This window comes from Homo sapiens, chromosome 22 (genome assembly GCF_000001405.40).
Source record: "Homo sapiens chromosome 22, GRCh38.p14 Primary Assembly".
NCBI lineage: Eukaryota > Metazoa > Chordata > Mammalia > Primates > Hominidae > Homo > Homo sapiens.
Genome location: NC_000022.11, coordinates 48,393,427 through 48,407,933, shown reverse-complemented (window position 1 = coordinate 48,407,933; position 14,507 = coordinate 48,393,427). Strand labels below are relative to the sequence as shown.

Genomic DNA, 14,507 nt, shown 5'->3' with positions numbered 1-14,507 from the left:
AGAAATGTCTGACTCCAAGAATGGGGCAGGAAATATGCAAGATGAGCCAGGAGCAGCTTGTAGTGCCATAAAGTAAGGAAGTGCTCATAGCAAACCAACAAGGATGGGACTATGTTCCAGAGAAACAAGAACCAACTGAAAGAGCTCCCAATGGCCAAAGCCAGAACAATGAGAACAATGAAAGAAACAAAGGAGTATTGTATGACAACCAAGCGTAAAGCAAACATCGATGAGTCTATACGGGCAGAAATACATGATTAAACAAATAAAGACACAGGCAAACTAACAAATAAGTAAGGTGAAAGAGATCAATCTCTCATGCGGAATGATTCCACATAATTTATGTAGAAACTCCACTCTCAAAAAGATGTAGAGAAAGCTCCCCAACCCCTCAAGTGTGGGTTTCCCACAGTGACTTCTTGCCAAAGAGTTCGGTGTGGGCAGGAGGGAAAAGGAACAGTTGTATAGTGGAGACATCTGATGGACACTCTTCTAGCTAGATCATCTAGCTCCGCACCAATGATGACAGCGCCTACTGATGTTAATATGCTGGATCTGAGGTGACAAGAAGGCATATCACCTCTGTGGTCTTCCTCTCCAAACCCATCACCCCTGTCAAGCCATGAGGAAAACATCAGACAAATCCCAGTGGAAGACATTCTACAAAACACCGGATCAGTACAACTCACAACTGTCAAGTTTGTCAAAAAATAAAGAAAATCTGAGAAACTGTCGGAGACAAGATGTGCCCAAGGAGATGTGATGAGTACATGTAATGAGGTACTACGGATGGTGTCCTGGCATAGAAAATGAACATTAGGTAAAAAAATAAGGAAATCTGAATATAGTAGGAACTTTAGTTAATCATATTGTATCGGCCGGGCGAGGTGGCTCACTTGTAATCCCAACACTTTGGGAGGCCGAGGTGGGTGGATCACCTGAGGTCAGGAATTCGATACCAGCCTGGCCAACATGGCAAAACTTCATCTCTACTAAAAATACAAAAAATTAGCCAGGCGTGGTGGCACACACCTGTAATCCCAGCTACGCAGGAGGCTGAGGCAGGAGGATTGCTTGAACTCACTGGGCAGAGGTTGCAGTGAGCCGAGATCATACCACTGCACTCCAGCTCGGATGACAGAGCGAGACTCTGTCTCAAAATAAAGAATCATATTGTATCACGATTGGGTCATTGAATCAATATTGGCTCATTGTTGGTTAGTAAATATTACATCAATTCTTGTGACAACTGCATCATGTGACTATAAGATTAATAACAGAGGGAACTATGTGTGGGGTATATGGAAATTCTCTGTAACTATCTTTGCAACATGTTTGTAAATTGGAAATTTTTAAAAAATAAAAAGTGCATTGTGTATTAAAATGTTTTGTAAAGGGTTGGCATATTTTAACAGCAACAATTTTTAACTGATAAAAACCTCTTGTTACATCTTTTTAAAATTATTATATCGGCAAAAAATGTTGTATGACAATTTTGAAAAAGGAAAATTAATTCCACACTCATAACTCCACCGTGTGACAAATCTTGCCGGTTTCCATTTCCAGGCTTTTGGCCTGACTTGGTCACATGGATGCAGATTTTTCAGAGTTGGATATTTTACTGTTCTTGTTCACCTACTACTTTCCTTACTGCTTGTTTTTTAAATAAAATTATAAAATGCAACAACAGAGTTGTGTTCCCCCGAGAAATTATTTTCTATTACACACAGTGCAACTGTGAACATCTTTGTGAGTATAATTTTTCTCTTCCATTGAATAATTTCTTAGGATGCCCTCTCAAAATTCCTTGTTTGGGGTCAAATGACAGGGATCCTTTCATGCCTCTTAAAATTGATAAATAAGATTAAGAATGTGAAATTACTACATGACAAGAGGAAAATTAAAAACAGAGGCAATTGCAAAACGACATTTGGCTGAGTTGGTGATTGATTAGCTCATTGAATGACAGAGATGAGAAACAACTCTTGCCCAGTGCTTTTTCTGGGCCAGGCACTTGGCATTTGCGATTACGCTGTGAATGACGCATGCGAAGTTAATGTTTAGCAGCATATTCCAAGCATGGGAAGATAATATAACAACATGCATCCAGGTCTGCTAGGGACACTTTCCTATTTCTTTCAAAGCATTTTTAAAAATAAAAAATATATTATAATTTAGTTAAATGCCATCGTTTTTTGTTTATCTGATATAACTCCTTTTCCTGCCTCTTAAAATTCACTTCTGTGTCTCACATTCATACTTTGTATTTCTATAATGTATGTGTATATAATAAACAACATGTACTATTGATTTTCATTGTTTTAAGACTTACTGTAAATGGAACTATGTCATCTTCCCTTTTGCAACTTGCCCATTTTGCTCAACACGCGTTGGGTTTTATGCTTGTACATAGATATTCATGTAGATTGAGTTAATTCATTTTAAATATTGATGGCATTGCTTCGTGCAAATATAACACACATTCTGCGAATACCTGCTGCTGGGCATTTAGGTTGTTTCCGGGAAACTGCCTCCCTGGGTCTCAGCATCTTCACCTGAGGCTCCCAAACTGCTCTTCAGCCTGTTGCATCCGTTTTTGCTCCCATTATAGCACCCGAGCACGTCCACCCAGGCTCAGGAGTGTCCTGAGTGTTATGGGGGAAGAGGTTCAGGATAGAAACTCAACTTTCTGCAACGGTGAAGGGAGCCAGGGAAGTTGAGGCCTGAGAGGGACATTGCTGGAACTGGGAGGGGACCATGGACCTGGGAACGCATGTGTCCAGCCCCCTTGCTGGACGTAAAGGGAAGCTAATAGGAGAGAGATCTGTGGGGAGCTCTTGCCCCCAGGGCCTCTCAGCTGCACCCCCTTGGCCGAGTGCTGCACGCAGCTGTGGGGCTGCCGTGGTCCGGAGAAAGGCTGAGGATGGCGTGCAAGGGACTGGGACTGGGACCGCACTGGAGCCTGACGGAATCCCTGGCCTTGTTTTCACTTAATCACCTCTTTAAAGACCCTCTCTCCAAACATAGTCCCATCCCAGGGTGCTGGAGGTTAGGGATTCAACATGGCATTGCAGGGAATAGGACACAGCCTGTGACACCAGGCAGGCAAAATGTGTCCCCGGAGGGCCTGGGTCAGGGAGATCTGACTCTCTGTTGCTTCAGCTCTCACATGTCACAGGGGCTCATCTTCTGGCCAAGATGAAGGCAGAGCCCTCCTGGGTTCACCAGAGGCCCCAGCGCCCTGCAGAGTAGCTAAGGGTGCCCACGCTGAGAGGTCGCTCTCACCTCTCCCACTCTCTCCTCTCCCGCTCCGCTCACTCCTGCATCTTTCCCTTCATTGACTTTTTCTTTTTTGAGCTGAGCCATTCAGTTAAAAGCATGTGCTTATTATGTTTTATCTTGCTTTTCTAGGTGAATTATGTTTTAAGAAGAATTGTTTTAGTTTATTTATTCTACCCCATTGCTGGAACTGGAAATTTAGCTACAATATATAATACTCATAACAAGCGGCACAACTTTCCAAGCCTGGGAGGTGAGCCCCTTCCCCCACTCACACAGCTGTTACGTGATGAGCAGAGAACCCACCTGGGCCTTGCTACCCCAAAGCTCACGTCTCATGCACGAATGTTCTATTTCCGTAAGCTGTCAGAATACCATTCTGATGAAGGCTGGGCTCAGTCCTTCCTGGCGCTCCGCTTTCCCAAGAGGCACTGGCTCAGTCCCGATCTGATCCCATCTGGAGTTGCCTGTTTGTGGCTGATGCGGCCCCGTGGAGCTGCGTGTGGGTGTGGGGCCATTGGCTCTCTGCCTGGCTAGGGGAGGAGCACCCTCCATCTCCCTCCATGCGGGGGTCTGTGTTGTCCTCTGTCTGCTTCTCTCAGCTCTGGGAGCCTAGACACAGAAAGCCCAGGTCCTCCTTGTCATCTCTCCTGCCTGGAGTCCAGTCACCCTTATTCTGATAAAAACTCTTGAAAGTTTTGTGGAATCCTGAAAAGTTAGCAACAATGAGGAGGGGGACCCAGGTGGGGGACAGTGATTGTTCTGAGGGACGCTAACTGCAAACAGCACGCTGCCACAAGGACCTTCCTCGGTAGGTAGCCCCTCCGGCATGACTCCATCAAATCCTGCAGCCCCTGCCTCTTTGCAAACACCCCCTTCCCTGCTGTGCTGTCCGCTGCGCCCTTGCAACACACTTTTCCTCTAACCAACCTGCCTTTCTTTACCTGGGACCGTCTCGGTAAATTCCTTTACCACCCAGGACGGCAGGACACCAGCCCCAACCATTGGACCTGTGCCAAGTTTCTTGTCGGGAAGTGCTCCTGCTCCATGGGGTGTGCAATCTGGGTGCAGATTCCCGGAACCCAGGCCCCCTGAGGGACACACATTGCCTGCCTGGTGTCACATTCTGTGTCCTGTCCCCTGCAATCCTATGTTGAAGCCCTAACCTCCGGCACCCCAGCATGGGACTGTTTGGAGAGAGGGTCTTCAAAGAGGTGGTTAAGTGAAAATGAGGTCATAATGAGTGGGCCCTGATCCAATCCCACTGGTGTCCTCGTAAGAAGAGGAGATGAGGATGCGGACACACCCAGAAGGGTGGCAGGGAGAACACAGGGAGAAGATGGTGTCTGCAGGCCTAAGAGAGGGGCCTTAGGAGGAACCAACCCTGGCCACATCTTGATCTCAGACTTCTGGCCTCCAGCACAGTGAAAAATTAAAGTTCTGCTGCTTGAGCCACCCAGTCTGTGACAGTTACGGCAGCCGGAGCAGATGATGACACCTGTCCAGTTGGTGCACGTGCCCCAGGGCCCCTCAGGTGTGTTCAGGGCTGAGGGAATGACCCAGGTGGGGTCAGTAAGGAAAAGAAGCTCTCTGTTCTCAGATGTTCCGGACATCAGTGCCCAGACCTGGGCAGCGAGTGGCCGTGGTCACGGCTCATGGCAGAAGGCTGCCATCTGGACATCAGTGCCCAGACCTGGGCAGCGAGTGGCCGTGGTCACGGCTCACGGCAGAAGGCTGCCTTCCGGACATCAGTGCCCAGACCTGGGCAGTGAGTGGCCGTGGTCATGGCTCACGGCAGAAGGCTGCCTGCATACAGTCAGTGCCAGGGCGGGGACAGAGGGAGGCCCCCCTCCAAAGACTGGTTTATGCCCACGTCAGGCTGTGTGGGCTGCAGACCCACCCCAGGGTCGTGTCTCTGCCCTCGGTGCCCCAGCTCTGGAGCACAGGCTGTGAACGTGGCCCTCCCGGAGGACCGAGCCCAGGTCCGCATTCAGATGCCCTCCTCATCTCGAGGGCGTGCGGAGTGTGATGGAAACACAGGCAGACATGAGGGATACACTCCTCCTTCTCCATTTTCCTTTGCTTGAGCCAATGACTTGGTTTTTGTAGAACACAACTTTCCCCTGGAGGGCGAAGCGAGCAGATTTCTGGAGCTTGAAATGGCAATCGTCATTAGGGTAACCCGCTTCCCCAGAGCATGTGCCCGGCTTGTCCTGGAAATGACAAGAATGGAGACGTGGCTGAGCACAGACACCAAGGCCTGAGGACGCTGAGACTTGGGGATCTATATCATCCTCCACGGATCTCTCCAAAGCCAGTTTCTGTCCTATATAATATTCACCTCATTGGGATATTTCCCCATCATTTCAATGGGATGTTATAGTGAGATAAACATGCCAGACAAAATTGAATTCTGTGGGTTTATTTATTGATTTATTTATTTTTGGAGGGGGAAGTCCAATGAATGTGAATCAAAGCAACATTTTGCACTTTACATCAGAATTGATGTTGCTGGCATAATTAAGAAACTCATTTCATTAAGAATTGCTAATTACGAGATGCTAAAAAACAATAACCCTGGACTGTATATATTTCAAGCTAGGAGAGACATTTATTAGAAGGAGAAATGGTCTTAAGGATTTCTAAAAATGTGAAATTAGATGCCACCCAGAGGTCGCATGGGCAGGGCTGGTGAGTGGAATTGGAGTCTGAACCCCACAGTGATGGGGAGCACAGGGAAAAATGTTCCCCAATCCAAGGACTTGGGCTGAGTTTCCTGAGACCATCCAGGCATGGGGCCTTGACCGCTTTCTCCCACCAAGCCCAGGGGCAGTGAATCTGCAGGTTCTTTCCTTTCTTTCTTTCTTTCTTTCTTTCTTTCTTTCTTCCTTTCTTTCCTTCTTTCTTTTTCTTTCTTTCTTTCTTTCTTTTTCTTTCTTTCTTTTTCTTTCTTTCTTTCCTTCTTTCTTTCTTTCCTTTCTTTCTTTCTTTTTCTTTCTTTCTTTTCCTTCCTTCCTTCCTTCCTTCCTTCCTTCCTTCCTTCCTTCCTTCCTTCCTTTCTTTCTTTCTTTCTTTTTTTCTTTCTTTCTTTCTCTCTCTCTCTCTCTCTCTCTTTCTTTCTTTCTTTCTTTCTTTCTTTCTTTCTTTCTTTCTTTCTTTCTTTCTTTCTTTCTTTCTTTCTTTCTTTCTTTCTTCTTTCTTTCTTGTACTGGGTCTCACTCTGTCGCCCAGGCTGGAGTGCAGTGGTGCAATCTTGGCTCACTGCAACCTCCACCTCCCGAGTTCAAGTGATTCTCCTGCCTCAGCCTCCTGAGTAGCTGGGACTACAGGCGCCCGCCACCACACTCAGCTAATTTGTATTTTTAGTAGAGACAGGATTTCACCGTGTTGGCCAGGCTGGTCTTGAACTCCTGACCTCAAGTGATCCACCCACCTCAGCCTCCCAAAATGCTGGGATTACAGGCGTGAGCCACCACGCCCAGCCTGGAGGTTATTTTCTGATCCCAAGGGAATTTCATGCAAATTGTTTATGTTATCAATTCCTGCTAGGGGCTCTCGAAGACAACTCTGCTTGAGGTTTCAGAGGTACCTACGGAGGCCACAGGCCCCAGCCCCTCTTGAATGGTGGAATTGTGCTTTTCCAGGACACAGAAGCACTGAATGCCACCCTTCGCTGCCCCCAGTTTTTACTCCTCACACTGGATTCTTAAAGAGATTCACTGCTGTTTCTCCTCACTGGACAAAGATGAAATGTGCTTTCTGTCAATGTCGTCCAAGAGGCAGAATTTGAATACTCATAAATAAATGGCAAAACACTGCAGATGGCATTTTAAGTGACTATTTGTGATTTAGAGAGGATTCATTGTGTGTTTGGTTTTCTTTGAGCCCTTATCAGACGCCTTTGTTCCTTCTTCAGGGGACGTTCATGGAGCCACCATTGGGCTCTGGACACTGAGCAAAGGAGGATGATATCCCAAAAAACGAGACCATGACCCAGCTGGGAAGACAGAGCCCAGCCGGTCTCTTCCTTCCTCCTCTCTCTCTGTCACTCTCACACACACCCACTCTCTTTAATGAAATGACACATCTACACAATTTTCAACAACAGCTGCTAAAATGACCCAGTGAGAGGCAGAGGGAACTGTGTGATAGGCACATCAGGCCAACGGCTGGTTATTTCTGATACCCTTCCTGATGGATGGGACACAGTCAAAAGGACATCAAAGGTTCTTTGGTGAGGGCTTCTTGCCAAAATTTAAACCGGAGTCCGACCATGATCCAGTTACTAATTTAAAGAAAACACAGAGGCCGGGCATGGTGGCTCACGCCTGTAATCCCAGCACTTTAGGAGGCTGAGGTGGGTGGATCACCTGAGGTCAGGAGTTTGAGACCAGCCTGACCAACATGGTGAAACCCTGTCTCTACTAAAAGCCAGGTGCAGTGGCTCATGCCTGTAATCCCAGCTAGCAGGGAGGCTGAGGCAGGAGAATCACTTGAACCTGTGAGGCAGAGGTTGCAGTGAGCTAAGATCACACTACTGCACTTCAGCCTGGGCAACAGAGTGAGACTCCATCTCAAAACAAAACAACCAAACAAAAAAAGAAAATACAGGGACAGAGGAATATGTTAGAAACACCACAGGGGTAAAATTTGGCAGAATCTTGAGAGTGTGTGGGAATGTCTATAGGACAAATGAACTTTCTTCAACAAAAACTAAAAAACAAACAAAACCACACACACACAGAAGATGTCCTCTGCAGATCGAAAGAACTTAAGAGGCATAGAAACCAAATGTGTGAACCTCATCTGGGTTTGGTGAACCAACTGTCTGTAAAATAACGAGTGTGAGAGAGGGTAGAACTATCAAATATGGAGAGGACTGTAGATGATTTTCGGAAATGATCAAGGTGTTCGGCATAGATGGCATAGCTGGGCTAAAAAGAAGTCCTTGTTTTCTAGAGGTACACACACCAAAGTACTTCTGGATAAAATTACTGTGTGTCTAGGATTTATTTTTAAACAATCCATTTTGGAGTATTAGTGAGTGTGGCTGTGGCTGAAACAATATTGATCATGTGTTTAAAACCGTTAAATATGTGTGATGGTGGCCGGGCGTGGTGGCTCACACCTGTAATCTCAGCTCTTTGGGAGGCCGAGGCAGGTGGATCACCTGAAGTCAGGAGTTTGAGACCAGCCTGATCAACATGGAGAAACCCCATCTACTAAAACTATAAAAATTAGCCAGGCGTGGTCGTGTGCCTGTAATCCCAGCTACTCGGGAGGCTGAGACAAAAAAACAAAACAAAACAAAACAAATCTGGGTGACGGTTAGTGGGGGCTCATCTTCCTATTCTCTCTCTTTTTATACACACATGAACATTTCCAAAATACAATGTGAATAATTTTTTTTTTTTTGAGACAGAGTTTTGCTTTATTGCCCAGGCTGGAGAGCAGTGGCGCAATCTAGGCTCACTGCCACCTCCGCCTCCCAGGTCCAAGAGATTCTCCCGCCTCAGCCTCCCGAACAGCTGAGCTACAGGTGCATGCCACCACCTCTGGCTAATTTTTTGTATTTTTAGTAGAGATGGGTTTTCACCATGTTAGCCAGGATGGTCTCGATCTCCTGACCTCGTGATCCACCCACCTTGGCCTCCCAAAGTGCTGGGATTACATGTGTGAGCCACCACACCCAGCTGAAAAGATGCTTTGCAGGAGGTTAGATGGAGGTATGCATCTAGGAGATGGGATAACAGCTCTGAGGATCAAATTGTGCAGGTATGAATAGCAGCCTGGTGTCTGGAACACCAGCACGCAGAAGCAGCCATGTCTGGAAGCTTCTCTTTGTTTTGTGAAGGAGAAGGCCAGGCCCCTGCTGGGCGTGTGGGTGAGCTGAGGTGCTGAACTCCAAGGCTGAGCAGTGGGCAGGAGGTTCAGAAGAGGCCAGAGTGGATGGGGCAGGGGTGTGGCCCAGGGCAGTGGACACATCGCCAGGATGAGAACTGATTGTGTGCTTTTGTGATGTTGTCCATCAGGCCGCCTGGCTCCAGTATGACGACTGGAAAATCCAAGGACAGGTCTTTGTCTTGAAGAAAGACAGAGGAGCGAAGGAAGTTAGGGGTTGTCCAGAATGGAACTAGCCTTGGGAGCTTGAGTCTCAGCTACTGAGGGGGTGAGAGCAGCGAGGGGAAGCTACAGGGTTTCTTATGTTAACCGTCTGCCCCATGGCGCTCCAGGAAACCCACGAGGAGTTTTACTGGGAACCATTGAACAAGGACATTGGCAATGTGGGGCATTTTTTATAGGGGAGATCGATGGGGTGGAGCTGAGGGGATGGATGGCAAAGCTAAGCTGTGACCTTGGGCATGGGGGTCAAGGGTAGATCAGAGGAGGTCACTGCAGGCAAGAAAGTCAAGGGACCACTAGTTTGTGCCTCTGTAGTGGGCTTTCACATAGCTGCTCCAGACCTACCACTAATGCAGGGCTTGAGGCAGAAAGAAGAAGGCTCTGGGTTGGAGCTCAGACTTCATGCAAGCAAGGAGTGGCGGGTGTGATGGAAGTCAGTCCGAGGGGGAGGCAAGCTGGTGACATGGAAAGGCAGGGGGCTCAGGAGCAGAGCTGTGGGTGCATATGAGGGTGCGCATGTGTGAGTGTGTGTGCACATGTGTGTACATATGAGTGTGCATGTGTGTGTGCTGCGAGGGTGCAGGTGTGTGTTCCCGTACACGTGTGCATGTCTGAGCATGCCCTTGTGCTCTCCAACTGGAGAACGAAGAAGCTGTACAGCTGCCGGGGAGGTGGCCAACTTAAGGAAGGAGGGAGGCGTTGCCGGTGACAGCAGGATCAGGGATATGGTTCTGAATGACTCCGCACAATTTTGGGGGTGTCTTCTGGAGCATTTGTTCCAGGTCTCATGCTTTTTCCTCAGAGATTCCTATCCCAACAGGAGCTGTGCTGTGACGGGTGCAGACAGGAGCCCAGAAAACAGCTGGTGGGGCTCTCACCCCAGCTCTGCACGGCCACGTCACTCACAGGTGGCACTGGGACTTCTCCGAGTCCCATTTCCTGTCTCTGAGAAAGTTAGAGGGCTCTGAAGCCTGAGTATCCAGCGACATGCTTGGGGTGCCCTGTGCTTCCCCTTCTCCCTGTGGACCCTGGCTCCAGCGCAGGGCTGGGGTATGAGCAGGCGTGGCAGACAGGCCCAACCCAGGCCCCGCACCGCGGCTGTGCTCAGCACAGAGCAATGGAAGACGCGCTTCCCGGGCTGCAGCAAGCGTCGCCCGGCAGGCAGGGGACCTCAGGAACAGAAGCTCTGTCTGAGACCAGGGCCCTTTCCTATGGTGTGACTTCAGGCGGGTTCTTCCAGCTCGCGGTGGGTGTCTTACTTGCTGTTGGGCAGGTTTGCTGAAAGGGAGGGTGAGACTTGCCGCCTGCCCTGGGCTCCCACCACCCAAGCGCAGGGGGCCCTTCCCTTCCTGCTGCTTTCTCACCGGGGACAGGAGCAGCGCTGGAGGCTCCTTTTCCCTCAGGCTCAGGAAGCAAAGTGGCCTCTGCCCCAAATCCCAACTGAAAAAGGTGACCCCCAGGATCAGATGTGGATTCCCTGCCCCGTTCTCGGTCAGAGTCCAAGTTCCATTGCACACCATTGCACAATCTCGCCTGAATGCTGTGATGGTGACGGGGCCACGCTTCCTGCCGGCTCTGCCTGGGCCTGGGAGCCACCCCTCGGGCCCTGCAGCGGTGGCCTCTGCTTCTCTCCGTTTGTGCGTGACTCCACCTTCCGAATACAATCATTGGCCTCATTAGCTGTGGTCGGCACTTCCTTTGAGAGCTGGGGGAGAACACGCTGATGATACATGGATGTCCTGAAAACCCAGACGTCTGTTTCATTGGCTTGTTTTGCTTTACCAAGGGCTCCGGGGTCGGCCGCTGTCTCCTGTAAGGGTGAACTTGGCTGTGACCGGGGCAGGCTGGAAGCCAGGGGTCTGGCCAGGGAAGGCTGGTATAACTACATCACAGGGGCTGCATTTTCCGGGTTCTGTACGTCCAGCGGCCAGAGTGGGGTGGGGAAGGGGAGGCGTCCGTACATCTGGCTGCTCCCCACTCCCAGCACTGTCTGCTGAGCCCTGTGGATCCTTCTGGAATGCACCCTGAACTTTGTTTCTCCCCGTGCCAGGTCCCTTGGGATGGAGCTGCAGCCCGCAGGATCCAGCCAGCGGGAACTGGGGCTGCCTCGTGCCCTTGACTTTCCTGGTGATGGATGAGCTCAGGTCCCCACACGTTCGCCTGGGCCTCCCTTCTTCCCCATATGTCCCCCAAATGCAGGTCTGCCTGGGCATGGGCATCCATCACAGGTGTCGGGGGGTGTAGAGGGGGCCTCCTTACAGTCAGGCTGTACGGGAGGCTGTGAGCTCACCTAACCCCCCACATCTTCAGAAAGCAGGGCGACGTGTGCCCAGGGGGAAGATAGATGTTTGGGGACCAGGCTTGGCTGCAGCACTTACAGTCACATGATGTCAGATGGCCCCTCAGGCCTCTCTGAGCCTGAGTCCTCAGCTGGAAATGGCAGGCTGCTATTCATTACGGTATTCATTCAACAAACCTTTCCAGTGCCTCCTGAGAGTCGTTCTGTTCTAGGGGTTGGGGACACAGCCATGAGCAGAACACCCAGCCCTACCCTGAGGAGCTGAAATTCCAGTGGAAGAGCCAGTGTTGGAAAAGTCCCTGGCACACCATGGCTATTGGATTTAATATTTATGAGTATCATCAGAGAACACAAACATGGCTCTACCAACTGCCAAGTAATCCCGGCCTGAGGAATTGGCCCCAAGGAGCTCATCCTTGAAGGACGAGGCCACAGGTAGAAAGCAGTGTTTTCAATGCAGAGTTCTTCACACGGTGAAAACCTGGATCAAATACCCCTCTGTGGAGAGCTGATCTAGTGAAGAACGGTTCCTCATTTGAAGGAATATTATGAGGCATTCAAAATCATAATTACAAAGCAAAGTACATAACCACATACAATGTTTATGGGGTACAATTGCACACACGCAGTGTTTGCAGGTGAGGAAAACTGTGTGTGGGGACAAGGACTGTGCATGTGTGTGCATGCGTGTGTGTGCACGCATGTGTGTGCATGTGTGTGCACAGGGGCTGGGAAAGGCAAGCAGAGAGAGAAGAGCAGCTGGTATACTTGGGCAGCAGGGTTGAATCCGCCACTAGTCACGGGCTCGCACACGGGCACAGCCGCGGCAGATGGACCTGGCCTGGCTCTGTCGTGACAGCTGTGGCTCTTCAGCCACACACTGTGTGACCCCTCTCCTCCTGGTAACATCGGTTCCTTATTACCCTGGACACTGTCTTCTCTGGAGCATGTGGCATCATGCTTCGCCCTCTCCAAATGCAGCTGCTGCCTCGGGCCTTTTCATCCTGGGTGCAGAAGTGTGACGATGCAAAGTGGTGCCTGTCACTTTTTGCTCCCTATGTGGGGGCTGCTGAGGGTTTTCATCAGGCACTTTCTGCTTCCCGGACTCCCGAGCTGCCTGGCCCCTGCCTGTCTCCTCACCTGGCTCTCCGGACAGCCCTCCGGGTCTGAGCTGCCCAGGATGCCTCCTGCTGATGCTACATAGCCACACCCTGCTGCCTGCAATCAAAGAGCCACAGGGGCACAGAGCCTGGCACCGGGAGTCAGATGCCAGGCCCACAGCCAGGAGTGGACTCCACCAAGGCAGCCTGGAGGAGGTTAGGGGAGGCTGGCCGGCTGGGGGAAGGGGAATCCTGGTGGCCCTGCGGAACTCTGGGATTAGGAATGTGAGTTCTGACAGTGCGGAGTGTATGAAAGCATCAGGTGTGGCTGTACCTGCCTCTGTGGGATGCTGCCACGCTGAGGCCGGCTTCGCTGGCCTGGCCCCTGTGGAAGCAGAAATGTGGGAAAAATATCAAATAGCCAAGAGAAACCTTTTTTGCCTGAAGCCTGAAAATAAAAATACTTTAAATATGGAAAACAGGTTCTTTATTGAGTTAGAAGACCAAGTTTTCACAGCAAGCTAAAATTATTTGTGCTAAACAGGGAGGTAGATCACAGAGAAGAGAATTGCCCAGCTCCCTCCAATACCTCCTCTGTATCCCTCTATTGAAATTCTATCTGAAAAGGGGACACTCACTTTTTTTGGGAAAAAAAAAGCAGAATAAAAGCAACAGAAAACCAGGATGCTATGGGAGCCAGAAGCCCCGTGATGAGCTTCCGATTGCCCCAGGACAGAGCCCAGTGGAGACCCTTCCTCTGAGAAAGAGAGAACGGGTTAGCCGTGGACTCTGATGATTATATTCCAGCCATTCTTTGATTTTATATTCCAAAACTATGACGCAAAAACCTTTCTGGCTTTGGACACTTGGCCATGGAAATGATCACAGTAAAATAGATCGTAAACTAGCCAATGGGTGTCTGGTGCCGGAGCCAGGGCAGCACTGGGCTTTTCGACAAAAAGGGGTCCGTCGTTCCCAATCCCTGAGTCAAGACCAAGCCTCCTTCCATGCCAAGAAGAAGTGTGCACCCAGAGAGAAGCCGCAGAAGACCATGGGCCCAGAAAGGGGAAGCCAGATGGGCCGACTGATTTTAAAATCTATAAATACGCACACTGCATAGTGTTTAGGAGCTCCTGCTTCGGAATTAATTGGGCCTGGGTTAGAATCTCAGCCTCATCGTTTGCTACCTTTTCTGAACTTGAGTAAAATATGTAAACTCAAGTCCTATTTTCTCATCCTCCCCAATAGGGTTGACATGAACAGTAAATGGGGTTGTGATAGAAATCGCTTTTCCGGGTCAGGCACGGTGGGTGACGCCTGGAATCCCAGCACTTTGGGAGGCTGAGGCAGGCAGATCACCTGAGATCAGGAGTTCGAGACCAGCGTGGAACTCCTAGACCAGCCTCTAACAATACCAAAAAAAAAAAAAAAAAAAAATTAGCCGGGCATTGTGGCGTGCACCTGTAGTCCCAGCTACTTGGGAGGCTGAGGCAGGAGAATCACTTGAACCTGGGAGGTGGAGGTTGCAGCGAACCGAGATCATGCCACTGCACTCTAGCTTGAGCAACAGAGCGAGACTCCGTCTCAAAAAAAAAATTGTTTTTCTGGGTGCCAGGAGCCAGTAGGCATTCCATAAATACCTCGTTTATGCCTAATTTATAGGACAGAGGTGGGTGGTTTTCTCCCAAGTCGGACTTGTTATCTTG

At 49.6% G+C, this 14,507-nt stretch overlaps 1 annotated feature.

Annotated features, from left to right (window-relative positions):
- Nucleotides 10,022-11,014: an enhancer, noted in NCBI's record as "H3K4me1 hESC enhancer chr22:48792732-48793724 (GRCh37/hg19 assembly coordinates)". NCBI's record gives its function as "activates a minimal SCP1, AML or CMV promoter by ChIP-STARR-seq in naive H9 embryonic stem cells {active_cell/tissue: H9 hESC(naive)}" and the evidence as "EXISTENCE:reporter gene assay evidence [ECO:0000049][PMID:30033119]".